The following is a 20,377-nucleotide window of genomic DNA, read 5'->3' as shown; positions in this document are numbered from 1 at the left end:
AGTAGCTGAGATTAGAGGTGCCCGCCACCATGCCTGTGTAATTGTTGTATTTTTAGTAGAGATGGGGTTTCACCATGTTGACCCGGCTGGTGTTGAACTTTTGACCACAGGTGAACAGCCTGCCTCAGACTCCCAAAGTGCTGGGATTACAGGTGTGGGCCACCACTCATGGACATTCCCTATGTTTCCTATTGAGATTCTGACTACAGTCAATTGCTATACCCATTTTCTGTCTATGACACTGAAGTCTTTTTTTGTAACAGTCATTTACCTTTGGTCTCACCAGCCCCAAACTGTCAAAGAATACCACTTTTCCTTTAAACACTGTCATATAATATAGAAATTAGTCTTTAGTAAGGTCTCACAAAACAAGAAGCCTGAACACAGGTGCCACTATTTTATTTATTTTTGAAGGGGGAAGACATGAGTTGGGAGTCTATATTTGAAGTCATCATAGGATGAAGAATGGCTGCGGTGGGTAAATATAAAACACTTTTATTACACTTCTATGTAGTTCTTGACATTTTGCTCCCTTGAAGTGCTATAAATTCTTAACTGATTCTTAGTCTTCTCACACAGGAATTTTGTTCATTATAATTGTGTTAAGTTTACATGTCTATAAAGGAATTACAGCCTGTGGTATTTTATTGTCACCTTGTTAATGTGCTTTGTGTAACTAATATTTGTAAAATGTATTCACATGAGCCTAATGTGGGAGAAATTTTGTTGTTCCTTTTGTTTTTGTTTTTCAGCTGGCTCTTTTCATATTACTGCAGACATATGGTGGGAACATATTATAAAACATTCATTTCAAAAAGTGATTCTGAGAAAATATGGAACCTGTGACCTTAACCATTTACATTTAAAAAAGACTAGCAAAGTGTGAATTACTACAAGGGACAGAAAGAAAAGCAGTTATAATTTCTTTCTTCAATGTTTATCAACTACCCAGAGAAAAACTTGTCAATGTTATAAATTTGGAAAGCTTTCCAGGTGTACCCAATCTTCAGTGAACAGAAGAAAACCTTTAGCAGAGAGAAATACTACAAATGCAAAGAATATGGCAGAAACTGTAGGTAGTTCTCAGATTTTACTATAAAAAATGGAATACTTACTGCAGAGAGATGCTACAGATATGAAGAATGCGGCAAAGCCTTTAAAAAGTTCTCAAACCTTACTGAACATAAGAGAGTTCATACTGGAGGAAAAACCTACAAATGTGAAGAATGTGACAAAATTTTAACCTGCTCCTCAACCCTTATTAAACACAAGATAAATCATTTTGGAAATAGATCCTACAATTGCAAAGAATGTGTAAAAGCCTTTAAATGTTTCTCAGACCTTACTAATTCTAAGAGAATTCTCAGAACTTGCTAAAAATAAAATAATTTATACTGGAGAGAAACCATCATACAAATGTGAAGAATGTCACAGAGCCTATGGGGGGTTCTCAGACCTTAATAAACATAAGATAACTCATACTGAAGAGAAACCCTACATATATAACTAATGTGGAGAAGCTTTTAAGTGGTTCTCAGCCGTTAGTAAACATAAGAGAATTTATACTGGAGGGAAACCCTACACCTGTAGAAAAAAAAAAGTCAAAGCCTTTACCTGCTTTTCAATCCTTATTAACCACAAGATAATTCATATAGAAGACAGCCCTTACAAATCTGAAGCATGTGGCAAAACCTTTAAGTGCTTTTCAGACTTTGCTAATCATAAGAGAATTCACACTGCAGGAAAAGCCTACAAATGTGAAGAATGTGGTGAAACATTAAGTTCATTCTCACACTTCATTAGAAATAATAGAACTCATAGTAGAGAGAAGCTTCACAAGTGTTAAAAATGTGGAAAAGCTTTTAAAGCATCCTCATTTTATGTCCAACATCAGAGACTTAATACTGAACAAATGCCACATAAAGGTAATGACTGTTGAAGAAGATTTAACTTAACATCTTGCAGCATCACTAAGAACTCGCTTTATACTCAGTGCTTTTGGGTTGGGTTTGTCTATTGCATTTTACTATTATGGAATGCCTTCTTTCTCTTAAAAAAAAACTACGTGGATTTTAAGTTTGCTTTGCTAGAAACTAGGATTGCATCACCTCCTTTTTTCTGTTTTCCATCTATTTGGTAGATTTCTCTTTTTTCTTTATATTTAGCTTAATTGAGATGAGTGTCTAGATTACAGAATACCATTAGATCTTGATTCTTTACTCAACTTGCCACACTGTTTTTTAATTGGGGCATTTAGCCCATTTACAGTTATGGTTAGTATTCATATGTGTTGATTTGATTCTGCCACCACGATTTTAGCTGGCTATTTTGCACATTTGTTTTGTGGTCGCTTTAGAGTGTCAGCAGTTTATTTACTTTGGTGTGTTTTTGAAGTGACTAATTACAGGGTTTTTTTTTATTTAGTGTTTTCTTCAGAAGCCCTTGTAAGACAGGTCTTGGGTAACAGATTTCTTCAGCGTTTGCTTATGTGAATAGGATCATATTAATTTTTTTCACTTCTGAAGCTCCCTTTGGTTGGATATAAGCTTACTTTGGTCTCGTGGGAAGCTGCAGTATGGGGAAGAAACATGTGGACTGGTGGAGTCATAGGGGCTGTATTGCTGAAGCTCTTCAGGGATCAGGCATGGCCCACCAGTACCGATGCTATGGTATGGGATCCCAGGGTAACTGAGACTGCCCTGTAAGAACCTGTGGCCAGAATAGGTCCCTATAAGAGGCCAGGAGACCAAGGGGTATTCAATTGGAACAATTTCTTCTGATTTGCAAGACCATCCTGCAAAAATTAGGTCCAACAATTTTTCTAGGGCTAAAGCCTCTTATGGGAGAAAGTTGAACCTAGAGAAGTGGCCATCACTGGCAACATATTACTACAGATGCTCTTGCACCAACACTCTTGACACCACATGAGGTGGCTTGCTGCCCCTTCTTTGCTTGGCTTCTAGGGGCTGCATCTCAGAGAGATGTAGGTCAGCAATCCCTTACTACAGACAGCCCAGGATGGAGGATCTCTGCTTTTGGCCAAGTTTGGTGTTTACTGTCTTGTGAGGAGCAATAGGTAGCTTGTGGAACCCATGGAGGGTGGACTGGCCCTCACTCTTTGGGTAAAATGCAGCTTGTTTGAGGTGTAAATAAGGTACCTGGGTTTTGAATTTTTCATTAGTCTGAGAAGCATAGCAAGGACAGTTCTAACACAGAGATAGTGGCAGAAATATTTTCAGTTACTCCTAGAGGCTGTGTCCAGGAAGTTGCTAGGTTGCTGCAGGCTCAATATCCCTGCCAATGATTGGCTAATGGCCGAGACCTGGAGAGTCTGCACAGTGAGAATGTGTGAGAACAGGTGCTCATGTAACAGTATGGCCACTTTTCTAAAGGGCTGCTGCAGTATGTTTTGTGTCCACTGCAGTTTCTGGTCACCTCAGGTTTTACAGAATCTGAAGCTGTCCCACTGAATGCTGAAAAACAGCAACAAAGGCAGTATGCCCCATTCTCTGGAAGCTCCATCCCAGGCAGGTATAGACCTGTTTCCAGCCCAAAAGCACCTGAAGGAGATAGCTGGAACCCCTCTTCAAATGTCTTACCCAGTGAGGAAAACATAATTCGGGACCCACTTAAGATAGCAGTCTAGCCACATTTTTGTAGGAGAGCTCTGCTGTGCAGAGGTATCACTTTCATCCCTTGTTTATTTGGATTCTCCAAAGCCAGAAAGCTGGAACAGCTAAGTCACAAAAACAGCAAAAGTGGCAGCTCACTCTTCACTCTAGGAACTATACCCCGAAGAGGTTTCAAAATTCCATAAATCAAATAACACTGGTGGTGGTAGCTGGACACCCTGTTTGGGAAGTTCTTTTCAGTGAGGAGGAAGAGTTTGGGGACGTGCTTTACCAGGCAGACTGGTGGTGTCATTTTAGAGCACCTGTACGGTGCTATAGATCCTTGCTGCCCCAGTCAGCTTAGGCTTTTCAAAGCCTGAAGGCTGGGATGGCTATGTTGTTGAAACAGCAAAGATGGAGGTCCACTCCTGTTTCTGGTAGCTCCAATTCAGAGAGATACAGCGCTGCTGCCAATGATTGGCTGGAATTCTAAGCCAGTAGATCTTACTCTATGAGGCACTGTGGAAGTGGGTCCTACAGACTGTCACTGCTCAGGTCCCTGGATTCTGCCTATTTCCTATAGGTATGTATATGGGTATAACCTCCTGCTTTGCTGGCGTTGCAGCTACTTTTTCTGGGAATCCTGGAAAGCCAGAGTATCTGTGGCTCTGCAACACGCCAGTGCAGTTGCTATGCTGAGACTCCAAGTAGCTCTATGTGTTAGACTAAAGGCCTTGGTAAAGTAGGTTCCTCAGGGAGTCTCCCCATCTGAGGATTAAAAAGATGTGTGGGAGAATTGTAGGTTCCCAGGGTCACACATGCACTTACTGCTTTACTGGATGGGGAGGTTCTCTTGGCTCTATGTCTTTTCTGGGTGGCCCATTGTTCGGCCTTGCTCTACTCTCCACAAGTTGTTTATTTGATTATTCTGAAGGCAAATACCTGGATATTTCATTTGAAGGTGCTGTATTTATGCACGCCTTGCATTTTTCTCTGTGAGAACTACAGGGTCTAGCTGCTCCTAATCTGCAATGTTGGTCTCTTTCCTCTAAAAGAAACCTACTTTTTTATATGAAAATAATTTAAGCTGGGCACAGAGGCTCATGTGTGTAATCCCAGGATTTGGGGAGGTCAAGGTGGATAGATCATGAGGTCAAGAAATCAAAACCATTCTGGCCAACATGGTGAAACCCCATATCTACAAAAAACAAACAAAAACAAAACAAAACAAAAAAAACTTTTGAGCATGGTGGTGCACACCTGTAGTTCCAGGTACTCAGGAGTCTAAGGCAGGAGGATTGCTTGAATGCAGGAAGTGGAGGTTGCAGTGAGCCAAGATCACACACTGCAGTCCAGCATGGCAACAGGGTGAAACTTTCTCTCATAACAAACAAATAAAAATTTAATATTTTTTCAAAAGCAACTATTGATGGAATTTAAGTCTTATATTTGAAGCTGTGTGTTCATTTCTAGAATTTATGTGAAAGAGCATGGTCAATGGTCCCTGCACTAGATTTAAGAGAGGTTCTTCTATATTAGATTGACAGATTTATATACTTTCATATGGAAGATTAAGAAAACTGAAATCTAAGATACATGAAGAAATTCTAAGTGGAAAGTCTACTTAGTGGTTGGGTATCATAAGTGCAGTATCATAAGTGACAGGATGATAGGAGTGTGAAAAGTAACCAGAATAATATTCTGCATAGTAAGAGAAACAATTTGGATTTTAGAAGGAAATTGCTTTACCATTTGCAGATTAAGATAATTAAAATACAGTGAATTTCAAAATGCCTTTTTAATGGCAATGTGTAAACTTAATTTTTTTAATTGAAGAAAATATTTGTGAATGTAATAATGCTACTTTACATTGAATTTTTATCTTGCCACTGATGTTACTTATCCCATTTTACCCATGGTTGTAGGTAACAGATGGTAACTATATTCTATAGAATTACACTGAAATAATATCTCTCATGATTCCTTTGTCAGTGGTCTTTAACTTAAAATAATTTGAAGAATATGGTTCCTACAATTTATATTTTTGTTTTTCTTGTAACTACAGATTATTGTGATGGTTGTTATGAAGATTTGGAATATAATAGACCTATATGCTTTAATTCTGAATTCTGAACAACTATTTGCAAAATTTTATCCTACTTCTTTTTTTTAACTGATGACTTCTCTGGTCTGCTAAACATATTCATACCTTTATTTTTTATTTAAATGGATGTAAATATACAGACAAATCACTGTAAAATAAACTTTGTATGTAACAGCTCTATAGAGAATACTCATATTTGTTTGTGATTGTGTACCTACTTTGAGAAGCAAAGAAAAATATTAGAATAAAACACATAATTTTACATGTCTTGATAACTTACCAGCAAACCGGAAACTTCAAAGATTTTGAAAGCAAATCTATTTTCTCTGCCTTGTATTAATCCCGTTTACCAAAAATGTTATTGCTCTTGTCTTAGAAACATCTTGTGCACATTCTCCTTTTTTTGTCTGTTTGCTTGTTGCTCACTATAGACATAATATATACATTTATTTTAGTCTAATTTCATAAAGCATTCCTTGTATAATTTTCTCAGAGATGATGAATGTGACTTTGATAAAATTTAATGATCTTCACAAAATAATTTTTACATGTAATTTCATGGTGTGTGTATTATTGTATGCTATTTATTTAGTACATTTTTTATTTTATTTCAATTTGAGAATGCTATTTAATCCAATTTTTATTTATTGTTCATTTTACATTATGAACTTGATATAATTGAGTTTATTAAACTTATTAGGCCAATTTATTCAAATTAATAGTTGAACATTTATTAAGTCATGAGGTCCTTTTGGCATATACATGAAGTAAACAAGATAATACTAGCTATATAATAGAAGCTACATAATTAGAAATAAATATTCTTCTTGAAATTAGCCAGTAGACTCAGATGAAAATAAAAATGTCTATAGTATGACATGAATTCTGCATATGAAGTGAACAAAATTGTACCACTGCTGCACAGTTGACTCTCACAATTGAAACAAATTATAGAGTTGGACATACTATAAAAACTAAGTTAAAATCTTGTAAAATTTTTAAATTGCATTTCTACCTTTAAACATCTACTGAGTGAGGTAGAGGGCATGTCTATTTAATCAAACCTGGAATGGCTAATACATGTCAATACTGTGCACCACAGGTATCAAAACCTAAAATTCCCGAAACCCTTTCCCTTTAGATTAGCAAAATATGATTTTAATCTCCCAACTCTATATTGTGTCTTAGACAAAATTACTAGGCCATTTTTTTTACATTTGATTCTGGATTTTTTTTTTTAATGGAGTCTTGCTCTGCCACCCACACTGGAGTACAGTGGTGTGATCTCAGTGCACTACAACCTCCACCTCCTGGGTTAAATTGATTCTTCTGCATCAGCCTCCTAAGTAGATGGGACTACATGTGCCCACTGCCATGCCTGGCTAATTTTTTTGTGTTTTTAGTAGAGACGGGGTTTCACCATTGTTAGACAAAATGGTTGATCTCCTGACCTTCTGATTTGCCCATCTCAGCCTCCCAAACTGCTGGGATTACACGTGTCAGCCACCACGCCAAGCCTTGATTCTAGATCTTGACACATCCTATCCTCAACTTAATTTCTCTGAGGATAGAAAAACTGTGTGATATGGAATAATAATACCAAACATTTGTTATAAACAAAGGATATTTTATTTCTGCCCTGCTGTCCTGGCCTCTTAGAATCATAGCTCTTCTTAGAAACTGGCAGAATCAGCCTTCTGTTCAGGGTAAATTTTGGGCAATTATGTGACATATGAAGGCTGGTTTCATTGCACCAGGTACTAAGAAAACCTGCTTCTGCCAGAAGTAAAATCCAGTAAGTTTTTTTTTTTTTAATATAAATTGGTGATTTTTTTTTATTATACTTTAAGTTTTAGGGTCCATGTGCACATTGTGCAGGTTAGTTACATATGTATACATATGCCATGCTGGTGCACTGCACCCACTAACTCGTCATCTAGCATTAGGTATATCTCCCAATGCTATCCCTCCCCCCTCCCCCCACCCCACCACAGTCCCCAGACTGTGATATTCCCCTTCCTGTGTCCATGTGATCTCATTGTTCAATTCCCACCTATGAGTGAGAATATGCGGTGTTTGGTTTTTTGTTCTTGAGATAGTTTACTGAGAACGATGATTTCCAATTTCACCCATGTCCCTACAAAGGACATGAACTCATCATTTTTAATGGCTGCATAGTATTCCATGGTGTATATGTGCCACATTTTCTTAATCCAGTCTATCATTGTTGGACATTTGGGTTGGTTCCAAGTCTTTGCTATTGTGAATAATGCTGCAATAAACATACGTGTGCATGTGTCTTTATAGCAGAATGATTTATAGTCCTTTGGGTATATACCCAGTAATGGGATGGCTGGGTCAAATGCTATTTCCAGTTCTAGATCCCTGAGGAATCGCCACACTGACTTCTACAATGGTTGAACTAGTTTACAGTCCCGCCAACAGTGTAAAAGTGTTCCTGTTTCTCCACATCCTCTCCAGCACCTGTTGTTTCCTGACTTTTTAATGATTGCCATTCTAACTGGTGTGAGATGATATCTCATTGTGGTTTTAATTTGCATTTCTCTGATGGCCAGTGATGATGAGCATTTTTTCATGTGTTTTTTGGCTGCATAAATGTTTTCTTTTGAGAAGTGTCTGTTCATGTCCTTCACCCACTTTTTGATGGGGTTGTTTGTTCTTTTCTTGTAAATTTGTTTTAGCTCATTGTAGATTCTGGATATTAGCCCTTTGTCAGATGAGTAGGTTGTGAAAATTTTCTCCCATTTTGTAGGTTGCCTGTTCACTCTGACAGTAGTTTCTTTTGCTGTGCAGAAGCTCTTTAGTTAAATTAGATCCCGTTTGTCAATTTTGTCTTTTGTTGCCATTGCTTTTGGTGTTTTAGACATGAAGTCCTTGCCTATGCCTATGTCCTGAAGGGTAAAGCCTAGGTTTTCTTCTAGGGTTTTTATGGTTTTAGGCCTAACGTTTAAGTCTTTAATCCATCTTGAATTGATTTTTGTATAAGGTGTAAGGAAGGGATCCAGTTTCAGCTTTCTACATATGGCTACCAGTTTTCCCAGCACCATTTATTAAATAGGGAATCCTTTCCCCATTGCTTGTTTTTCTCAGGTTTGTCAAAGATCAGATAGTTGTAGATATGCGGCGTTATTTCTGAGGGCTCTGTTCTGTTCCATTGATCTATATCTCTGTTTTGGTAACAGTACCATGCTGTTTTGGTTACTGTAGACTTGTAGTATAGTTTGAAGTCAGGTAGTGTGACGCCTCCAGCTTTGTTCTTTTGGTTTAGGATTGACTTGGCAATGTGGGCTCTTTTTTGGATCCATATGAACTTTAAAGTTTTTTTTTCCAATTCTGTGAAGAAAGGCATTGGTAGCTTGATGGGGATGGCATTGAATCTGTAACTGACCTTGGGCAGTATGGCCATTTACACGATATTAATTCTTCCTATCCATGAGCATGGAATGTTCTTCCATTTGTTTGTATCCTCTTTTATTTCCTTGAGCAGTGGTTTGTAGTTCTCCTTGAAGAGGTCATTCACATCCCTTGTAAGTTGGATTCCTAGGTTTTTTATTCTCTTTGAAGCAATTGTGAATGAGAGTTCACTCATGATTTGGCTCTCCGTTTGTTTGTTGTTGGTGTATAAGAATGCTTGTGTATTTTGTACATCGATTTTGTATCCTGAGACTTTGCTAAAGTTGCTTATCAGCTTAAGGAGATTTTGAGCTGAGACGATGGGGTTTTCTAGATATACAATCATGTCGTCTGCAAACAGGGACAATTTGACTTCCTCTTCTCCTAATTGAATACATTTTATTTCCTTCTCCTGCCTAATTGCCCTGGCCAGAACTTCCAACACTATGTTGAATAGGAGTGGTGAGAGAGGGCATCCCTGTCTTGTGCCAGTTTTCAAAGAGAATGCTTCCAGTTTTTGCCCATTCAGTATGATATTGGCTGTGGGTTTGTCATAGATAGCTCTTATTATTTTGAAATACGTCCCATCAATACCTAATTTATTGAGAGTTTTTAGCAGAAGGGTTGTTGAATTTTGTCAAGGGCTTTTACTGCATCTATTGAGAGAATCGTGTGGTTTTTGTCTTTGGCTCTGTTTATATGCTGGATTACATTTATTGATTTGCATATATTCAACCAGCCTTGCATCTCAGGAATGAAGCCCAGTTGATCATGGTGAATAAGCTTTTTGATGTGTTGCTGGATTCGTTTTGCCATTATTTTATTGAGGATTTTTGCATCAGTGTTCATCTAGGGTATTGGTCTAAAATTCTCTTTTTTTGTTGTGTCTCTGCCTGGCTTTGGTATCGGAATGACGCTGGCCTCGGGAAAAGAGTTAGGGAGGATTCCCTCTTTTTCTATTAATTGGAATAGTTTCAGAAGGAATGGTACCAGTTCCTCCTTGTACCTCTGGTAGAATTTGGCTGTGATTCCATCTGGTCCTGGACTCTTTTTGGTTGGTAAGCTATTGATTATTGCCACAATTTCAGATCCTGTTATTGGTCTATTCAGAGATTCAACTTCTTCCTGGTTTAGTCTTGGGAGAGTGTATGTGTCCAGGAATTTATCCATTTCTTCTAGATTTTCTAGTTTATTTGCATAGAGGTGTTTTTAGTATTCTCTGATGGTAGTTTGTATTTCTGTGGGATCGGTGGTGATATCCCCTTTATCATTTTTTATTGCATCTATTTGATTCTTCTCTCTTTTTTTCTTTATTAGTCTTGCTAGCGGTCTATCATTTTGTTGATCCTTTCAAAAAACCAGCTCCTGGATTCATTAATTTTTTGAAGGGTTTTTTGTGTCTCTATTTCCTTCAGTTCTGCTCTGATTTTAGTTATTTATTGCCTTCTGCTAGCTTTTGACTGTGTTTGCTCTTGCTTTTCTAGTTCTTTTAATTGTGATGTTACGGTGTCAATTTTGGATCTTTCCTGCTTTCTCTTGTGGGCATTTAGTGCTATAAATTTCCCTCTACACACTGCTTTGAATGCGTCCCAGAGATTCTGGTATGTTGTGTCTTTGTTCTCGTTGGTTTCAAAGAACATCTTTATTTCTGCCTTCATTTCGTTATGTACCCAGTAGTCCTTCAGGAGCAGGTTGTTCAGTTTCCATGTAGTTGAGTGGTTTTGAGTGCGATTCTTAATCCTGAGTTCTAGTTTGATTGCACTGTGGTCTGAGACATAGTTTGTTATAATTTCTGTTCTTTTACATTTGCTGAGGAGAGCTTTACTTCCAAGTATGTGGTCAATTTTGGAATAAGTGTGGTTTGGTGCTGAAAAAAAATGTATATTCTGTTGATTTGGGGTGGAGAGTTCTGCAGATGTCTATTAGGTCCGCTTGGTGCAGAGCTGAGTTCAATTCCTGGGTATCCTTGTTAACCTTCTGTCTCTTTGATCTGTCTAATGTTGACAGTGGGGTGTTAAAGTCTCCCATTATTATTGTGTGGGAGTCTAAGTCTCTTTGTAGGTCACTCAGGACTTGCTTTATGAATCTTGGTGCTCCTGTATTGGGTGCATATATATTTAAGATAGTTAGCTCTTCTTGTTGAATTGATCCCTTTACCATTATGTAGTGGCCTTCTTTGTCTCTTTTGGTCTTTGTTGGTTTAACGTCTGTTTTATCAGAGACTAGGATTGCAACCCCTGCCTTTTTTTGTTTTCCATTTGCTTGGTAGATCTTCCTCCATCCTTTTATTTTGAGCCTATGTGTGTCTCTGCACGTGAGATGGGTTTCCTGAATACTGCACACTGATGGGTGTTGACTCTTTATCCAATTTGCCAGTCTGTGTCTTTTAATTGGAACATTTAGTCCATTTACTTTTAAAGTTAATATTGTTATGTGTGAATTTGATCCTGTCATTATGATGTTAGCTGGTTATTTTGCTCGTTAGTCGATACAGTTTCTTCCTAGTCTTGATGGTCTTTACATTTTGACATGATTTTCCAGTGGCTGGTTCTTGTTGTTCCTTTGAATGTTTAGCGCTTCCTTCAGGAGCTCTTTTAGGGCAGGTCTAGTGGTGACAAAATCTTTCAGCATTTGCTTGTCTGTAAAGTATTTTATTTCTCCTTCGCTTATGAAGCTTAGTTTGGCTGGATATGAAATTCTGGTTTGTAAATTCTTTTCTTTAAGAATGTTGAATATTGGCCCTCACTATCTTCTGGCTTGTAGGGTTTCTGCCGAGAGATCCACTCTTGGTCTGATGGGCTTCCCTTTGAGGGTAACCCGACCTTTCTCTCTGGCTGCCCTTAACATTTTTTCCTTTGTTTCAACTTTGGTGAATCTGACAATTATGTGTCTTGCTCTTCTTGAGGAGTATCTTTGTGGTGTTCTCTGTATTTCCTGAATCTGAACATTGGCCTGCCTTGCTAGATTGGGGAAGTTCTCCTGGATAATATCCTGCAGAGTGTTTTCCAGCTTGGTTCCATTCTCCCTGTCACTTTCAGGTACACCAATCAGACATAGATTTGGTCTTTTCATATAGTCGCATATTTCTTGGAGGCTTTGTTCATTTCTTTTTATTCTTTTTTCTCTAAACTTCCCTTCTCACTTCATTTCAGTCATTTCATCTTCCATCGCTGATACCCTTTCTTTCAGTTGATCGCACCGGCTCCTGAGGCTTCTGCATTCTTCATGTAGTTCTTGAGCCTTGGTTTTCAGCTCCATCAGCTCCTTTAAGCACTTCTCTGTATTGGTTATTCTAGTTATACATTCTCCTAATTTTTTTTCAAGTTTTCAACTTCTTTGCCTTTGGTTTGAATGTCCTCCTGTAGCTCAGATTAATTTGATCGTCTGAAGCCTTCTTCTCTCAGCTCGTCAAAGTCATTCTCCATCCAGCTTTGTTCCGTTGCTGGTGAGGAACTGCGTTCCTTTGGAGGAGGAGAGGCGCTCTGCTTTTTAGAGTTTCCAGTTTTTCTGTTCTGTTTTTTCCCCATCTTTGTGGTTTTATCTACTTTTGGTCTTTGATGATGGTGATGTACAGATGGGTTTTTGGTGTGGATGTCCTTTCTGTTTGTTAGTTTTCCTTCTAACAGACAGGACCCTCAGCTGCAGTTCTGTTGGAATACCCTGCCGTGTGAGGTGTCAGTGTGCCCCTGCTGGGGGGTGCCTCCCAGTTAGGCTGCTCAGGGGTCAGGGGTCAGGGACCCACTTGAGGAGGCAGTCTGCCCCTTCTCAGATCTCCAGCTGCTTGCTGGGAGAACCACTGCTCTCTTCAAAGCTGTCAGACAGGGACATTTAAGTCTGCAGAGGTTACTGCTGTCTTTTTGTTTGTCTGTGCCCTGCCCCTAGAGGTGGAGCCTACAGAGGCAGGCAGGCCTCCTTGAGCTGTGGTGGGCTCCACCCAGTTCGAGCTTCCCTGCTGCTTTGTTTACCTAAGCAAGCCTGGGCAATGTCGGGCGCCCCTCCTCCAGCCTCGCTGCCACCTTGCAGTTTGATCTCAGACTGCTGTGCTAGCAATCAGCAAGACTCCGTGGGCATAGGACCCTCTGAGCCAGGTGTGGGATATAATCTCGTGGTGTGCCGTTTCTTAAGCCGGTCAGAAAAGAGCAGTATTCTGGTGGGAGTAACCCGAGTTTTCAGGTGCGTCCATCACCCCTTTCTTTGACTCAGAAAGAGAACTCCCTGACCCCTTGTACTTCCCAAGTGAGGCAATGCCTGGCCCTGCTTCGGCTTGCACATGGTGCGCGCACCCACTGACCTGCGCCCACTGTCTGGCACTCCCTAGTGAGATGAACTGGGTACCTCAGATGGAAATGCAGAAATCACCATCTTCTGCTTCACTCACCCTGGGAGCTGTAGACCGGAGCTGTTCCTATTCGGCCATCTTGGCTCCTCCAGTGATTTTTAAAATAATATAAATGATAGGTTTCTTCTGTTTAATTGTAATGATTCTTTCAAAGAGATGTTTGGCTTTATTTCTATAATGAAGCAAATTCTGAACATCTTATAATCTGTTCATTATCATATAGTAAATAATAAAGAACAAGTTAATGAATCTCAGTTTTTGTAAGTATTTTAGTGAATAAATTTAATCTCATTTCCATAATCTTTAAGTTTTACTACTGAAGACCAGAATAGACTTTTTTCTTCTTTTGGGAAACTATAAAAGCATGTTCATAATGTTACTTTCATAGATAATATGAATATCAACTGTCAAGTGTGTTGGTTTCTAAAATAAAATATTTTAGAATTGTATTACCAAACATATTCAATGAAATGTTTTAAAGTTGCCTATTTAAAAAATCTGCCAATTTTGAATTGCATATGCAGCTAAAATTTTCTTAAGATAGAGGATAAGATGTAAAATAATTCATACAAATAATATAAACTCAGTTTTCTGAAATTATTTACTTAAGAAATCTAATTACAGTTTAAATAAGTTGTGATCACCTATTAGCCTTTATGCAGCATATTATATTACTAAAATTTTGCATCTAAAATGGTAGCAATTAGAACAAAGTAGAGAAAATACAATAATTGGCATAAAAAATTTCAAGAAAATGAAATGTTTGTATGATGACCTAAATAAAGTAATATGAAGAATGAAAGGATAGTATTAGTTTTACACATTATTGGTCAAAAGTAACCTGAGATATTGTGTAGAAAGTGCTATTAATTATATCTTTGAGACCGTCTTACTGATTTTGGCACTTAGAGAAGCTCCAGCACAGACCCAGCATTCCTTAGGCATTTTTTTCCAGGAGAACATTTAATAGAAATGAAGCAGAAGGTGACTTACACAAAGGTAAATGAATACTTGTCTCCTAGAGACCAGTGGGTGCAGCTTGCTAAAAGAGTAGACCTTTCCTGGAAGTCACGGAAGGGGCTATGGGCAAGCATCTTAGAATAGGGGCCTGGAGCTCCATGAAACACTCCTGCCAGCAGTGATCTCAGAGGGCCACGTGGTAGGTCAGCCTAGGTGCTCTGTCATGTTCCCGGTCCTTGAGTCCTTCCTCACCCACTAGGTATTTCCACAAAGAAATCAGGATGGCAACCACAAGTGCAGCCCCCCTAGAAGGAGATCAAGAGTGTCAAGGATCACATTCTTCTTGGAAAATTCAGTGATTTAGTAACTCGTCAATAAGCTGTAGCAGAATGTGCTGCTCTAACCCACAGAGATCACACTCTAGGAGGAAATTTGGGTGACACCTGCCTGAAGATGTGCATTGGAGGAAGGACGGACAGGTCACCTGGGACTTAGTGAGCAAGTGCCCCTAGCCAATCCGGGGAGACATGGGCTTGGCCAGAGCAGAAAGTAAGGGTGGCATACAGCAGACATGCTGAGCTGTCAGATGGGCACACAAGGGTAGGTATGAGTGGTCCCTGAGTGGGAGAACCCCCTCAAAGCCCTCAACTCACCCAAGAGATCCCCCAGCCTTTTGAACCACAAGCTGTACCTGGAACTCCAGGGTGCGCACTGGGTAGTGGCCTGGTAAAACTTGGGTGAGCAGCCAGTCACTGAGTGACTTCCATTGCCCATGTCTCTAATGAGAAAATTGAATCCCCAAAGTCACAAGCCAGGAGCAGCAAAAGCACTAGGCTGAGGCATCACATTTTTTCTTCACTGGCACCCATAATCCTCAGAACCCCTGGGCTTCCCTTGAGGAAAAATATTCCTCTTCATTGTGAGTGTAGGCCCAAATCAGAGAACTGGCTTGACTGTTCAACTGCACTCAGGCAGTGTGTGTACCATTCCAAGCAGGTCCCATTTACTTCGTGCCTCCAGTTATTTCATCTGCAACATATCACTTGTAACAGCTCTTTCTCTACCCTCCAAATTCTATGGTTTTTGAAATTCCTCTGAAGACCACATGAGCCAAGCATCAAGGATCATTGTTCTTTAGGCTACTCAGGCTATTCCAGGAAGAGAGATCTCTCAAACTACGTTGACACTTAAGAGTCATGTATAGATAGTACCAGATCTAGGAGGAGGGCTGTCAAATATCCAGATTCTTTTCTGGTCTCCATTCCAAAAGATATGTTAAAATGACAAGGAAAATAAGACACAAACCTGACATTTCTCCCTTTAAAAGGGCAGCCTCAGCCTGGCCACACTGAACCAAAATTTCAGGCTCTGGTTCACCTTGACTCACATTGGAAAATACTTGAACTGGGACCCCAGAATGTCCAGTGAAAATCTTGAGAATGGGCACCTCAGCAGCCTGAACACACCTGTAACAGGAACAAACCCTACCAAGTAAGAAGCCATCTCATTTACTTAGAAAACCATACCAGCAATGTGCACACACATCAGGCTTTTTAGATAAACTCCTGTTAATCCAAGGATTCAAGAAAAAGGAAAAAAAAAGTTTGAATCTAGATTCTCAGGAAGAAGAACCTCCACTGCCTGGACCAGCCTGTATGATGGATGCAACTGACAGTGGTAACTTGTCTTGCACATACCTGAAGACTGATCTTATATAAAAAATGTTTCTGAGTGTTCAGAGTTTCAAGCTAAAAATCTACTAGTGGCCTGGCCAGCTGCAGTGGGTCAGGCCTGTACTCCCAGCAGTTTGGGAGGCCAAATCAGATGGATCATCTGAGGTCAGGAGTTCAAGAACCACCTTATCAACATGAAGAATCCTGGTCTCTACTAAAAATACAAAATTAGCCAGGTATCATGGCAAATGCTTGTCATCCTAGCTACTCAGAAGGCTGAGGCAGAGGAATCACTTGAACCTGTGAGGCGGAGGTTTCGGTGAGCTGAGATTGTGCAAACACCCTCCAGCCTGGGCAACAAGAGTGAAACTTCATTTCAAAAAAAAAAAAAAAAAAAATCTAGTAGTGGCCAACCTGGAGATTACTCTTTATCTATGAGGAAAGTCTGAGCCTTTGCTCTCTCCCATGCTGTGGTATGGAGTAGGCCACACAGGGGACTGAGGCCCTTATTTTTTGTTAAATGAAGGACAACAGATAAAAGATTGTTCAGAAAAAATGTGCTTAATAAATATGCTATGCACACTGCATGCTTTTTCCAAGTGGACGTGGTTATCCTGCTAAGCCCACTGACACTGGACTTTCTCCCCTCTATGTAAGTCGCCAGTAAAACTCCATATCCTATTTACTGATTCTGAGTTTCTTCTTTGACATCGTGAACCTGCTGCCATTTACATGGGAGTCAAATTTGACACAACTTACCCCATAATGAGGAAGGATTTCAGATTCTTCTCAATGTGCTTCAAAGCTCAACAAGGCATCAGCTACAGAAGGATGCAGTTGTTCTCTTTACCACTATCACACAGGGCTCGTTTCCTTAGATGCACCTTCAGTGGAATACCAAGAAAGATGAACAAGAAACACGTCATGGTCAGAAGCAACATTAATGACCAAATAAGCAGTGACCACTTGTAAAGCAAAAGGGAGCATTTTGCTTTCTACTCTGGGCAGCCCTCAATGTCTGCCATCACTTTCTGGTTTCAGTAATGGTTTTTAAGCTCCATCGTGGCTCTGGAGAAACCTTAGGCACTAGGTGGTAAACACCTTCACTTAGTCCTGGAGCAACAAAGCTTTCTCTTGTCAAATATGACCTCTGTGATCATGAGCTACTAAGCCATCTAGACAATGCACCACCAGAAAACCTATGAAAGGGAGATGAGTAGACATGAGGGAAACAATTTCCCACTTTTTTCAGTGGCAAGTTCAAACAACTGTGACAGTAGATCACAGAGCAAAAGAAAACAGCATAGTAGAACTCCTCATCATGTAAGATTACAACCAAGACTTTTCTATCCTCAGTGTGAGAGCACCAAATGAAAACCAGAAATTACTTCACTGTGTATCTATCAGTAATTAATTGCACAATATTTTCTCTATCATACTGAAAAGTATTCACTGAGGATTTTCTAATTGAACATGTAGAGATAAAGACAGGAGAATGTAAAATAGCAATTCCATAAAATCATTAAAGAAATTGAAGGTATCCTTGTTAACTTTCTGTCTCATTGATCTGCCTAATGTTGACAGTGGGGTGTTAAAGTCTCCTGTTATTATTGTAGGAATTGAATTCAGCTCTGCACCAGGCGGACCTAATAGATGTCTACAGAACTCTCCACCCCAAATCAACAGAATATACGTTCTTCTCAGAACCACACCCCAACCATTCCAAAATCAACCATATAGTTGGAAGTAAAGCACACCTCAGCAAATGTAAAAAAACAGAAATTATAACAAAATGTCTCTCAGACCACAGTGCAATCAAACTAGAACTCAGGATTAAGAAACTCACTCAAAACCTCTCAATTACATGGAAACTGAACAACCTGCTCCTGAATGACTACTGGGTACCTAACGAAATGAAGTCAGAAATAAAGTTGTACCTTGAGACTAATGAGAACAAACACACAACATACCAGAATCTCTGGGACACATTTAAAGCAGTGTGTAGATGGATATTTATAGCACTATATGCCCACAAGAGAAAGCAGGAAAGATCTAAAATTGACACCCTAACATCACAATTAAAAGAACTAGAGAAGCAAGAGCAAACACATTCAAAAGCTAGCAGAAGGCAAGAAATAACTAAGGTCAGAGCAGAATTGAAGGAGATAGAGACATAAAAAGCCTTTCAAAAAACCAATGATTCCAGGAGCTGGTTTTCTGAAAAGATCAACAAAACTGATAGACCACTAGCAAGACTAATAAAGAAGAAAAGAGAGAAGAATCAAATAGATGCAATAAAAAATGATAAAGGGGATATCACAACTGATCCCACAGAAATACAAACTACCTTCAGAGAATACTACAAACACCTCTAGGCAAATAAACTAGAAAATCTAGAAGAAATTGATAAATTCCTTGACACATACACCCTCCCAAGACTAAACCGGGAAGAAGTTGAATCTCTGAATAGACCAATAATAGGCTCTGAATTTGAGGCAATAATTAACAGCTTACCAACAAAAAAAAGTCCAGGACCAGATGGATTCACAGCCGAATTCTACCAGAGGTGCAAGGAGGAGCTGGTACCATTCCTTCTGAAACTAGTCCAATCAATAGAAAAAGAGGAAATCCTCCCTAACTCATTTTATGAGGCCAACATCACCCTAACACCAAAGCCTGGCAGAGACACAACCAAAAAAGAGAATTTTAGAACAATATCCCTGATGAATATCTATGCAAAAATCCTCAATAAAATACTGGCAAACCATATCCAACAGCACATCAAAAAGCTTATCCACAATGATCAAGTGGGCTTCATCCCTGGGATGCAAGGCTGTTTCAACATATGAAAATCAATACACGTAATCCGGCATATAAACAGAAAAGAAACAAAGGCAAAAACCACATGATTATCTCAATAGATGCAGAAAAGGTCTTTGACAAAATTCAACAGCACTTCATGCTAAAAACTCTCAATAAATTAGGTATTGACAGGACGTATCTAAAAATAATAAGAGCTAATTATGAAAAACCCACAGCCAATCTTATACTCAATGGGCAAAAACTGGAAGCATTCCCTTTGAAAACTGGCACAAGAAAGGGATGCCCTCTCTCACCACTCCTATTCAACATGGTGTTGGAAGTTCTGGCCAGGGCAATTAGGCAGGAGAAGGAAATAAAGGATTTTCAATTAGGAAAAGAGGAAGTCAAATTGTCCCTGTGTGCAGATGACATGATTGTATATCTAGAAAACCCCATTATCTCAGCCCAAAATCTCCTTAAGCTGATCAGCAACTTCAGCAAAGTCTCAGGACACAAAAGAAATGTGCAAAAATCACAAGCATTCTTATACACCAATAAGAGACAAACAGAGAGCCAAATCATGAGTGAACTGTCATTCACAATTGCTTCAAAGAGAATAAAATACCTAGGAATCCAACTTACAAGGGATGTGAAGGACGTCTTCAAGTAGAACTACAAACCACTGCTCAGTGAAATAAAAGAGGACACAAACAAATGGAAGAACATTCCATGCTCATGGATAGGAAGAATCAATATCGTGACAATGGCCATACTGCCCAAGGTAATTTGTAGATTCAATGCCATCCCCATGAAGCTACCAATGACTTCCTGCACAGAATTGGAAAAAACTACTTTAAAGTTCATATGGAACCATAAAAGAGACTGCATTGCCCAGTCAATCCTAAGCCAAAAGAACAAAGCTGGAGACATCATGCTACCTGTCTTCAAACTATACTACAAGGCTACAGTAACCAAAGCAGCATGGTACTGGTACCAAAACAGAGATCTAGGCCATTGGAACAGATCAGAGCCCTCAGAAATAATACCACACATCCACAACTATCTGATCTTTGACAAACCTGACAAAGACAAGAAATGGGGAAAGGATTCCGCATTCAATAAATGGTGCTGGGAAAACTGGCTAGCCATATGTAGAAAGCTGAAACTGGATTCCTTCCTTACACCTTATACAAAAATTAAGTTAAGATGGATTAAAGACTTAAATGTTAGACCAAAAACCATAAAATCCCTAGAAGAAAACCTAGGCAATACCATTCAGGACCTAGGCAAGGGCAAGGACTTCATGTCTAAAACACCAAAAGCAATGGCAACAAAAGACAAAATTGACAAATGGGATCTAATTAAACTGAAGAGCTTCTGCACAGCAAAAGAAACTACCATCAGAGAGAACAGGCAACCTACAGAATGGGAGAAAATTTTTGCAATCTACTCATCTGAAAAAGGACTAATATCC

At 39.2% G+C, this 20,377-nt stretch overlaps 1 long non-coding RNA gene and 2 pseudogenes across 1 annotated transcript; 2 read left to right on the top strand and 1 right to left on the bottom strand.

Moving 5' to 3' along the window:
• ZNF736P11Y (zinc finger protein 736 pseudogene 11, Y-linked) lies at positions 750–1,363 on the top strand (annotated as a pseudogene).
• TRIM60P4Y (tripartite motif containing 60 pseudogene 4, Y-linked) lies at positions 6,660–7,524 on the top strand (annotated as a pseudogene).
• Positions 15,789–16,920, bottom strand: TTTY17A (testis expressed transcript, Y-linked 17A). Its single transcript, NR_001526.1, has 2 exons — positions 16,861–16,920; positions 15,789–15,894 (listed from the first exon to the last, which is right to left on the bottom strand). It is a non-coding gene; the product is annotated as a testis expressed transcript, Y-linked 17A (long non-coding RNA).
• Between the last annotated feature and the right edge of the window lie 3,457 nt (positions 16,921–20,377).

This window comes from Homo sapiens, chromosome Y (assembly GCF_000001405.40).
Source record: "Homo sapiens chromosome Y, GRCh38.p14 Primary Assembly".
Lineage (NCBI taxonomy): Eukaryota > Metazoa > Chordata > Mammalia > Primates > Hominidae > Homo > Homo sapiens.
This window is presented reverse-complemented; position numbering and strand designations above follow the sequence as displayed.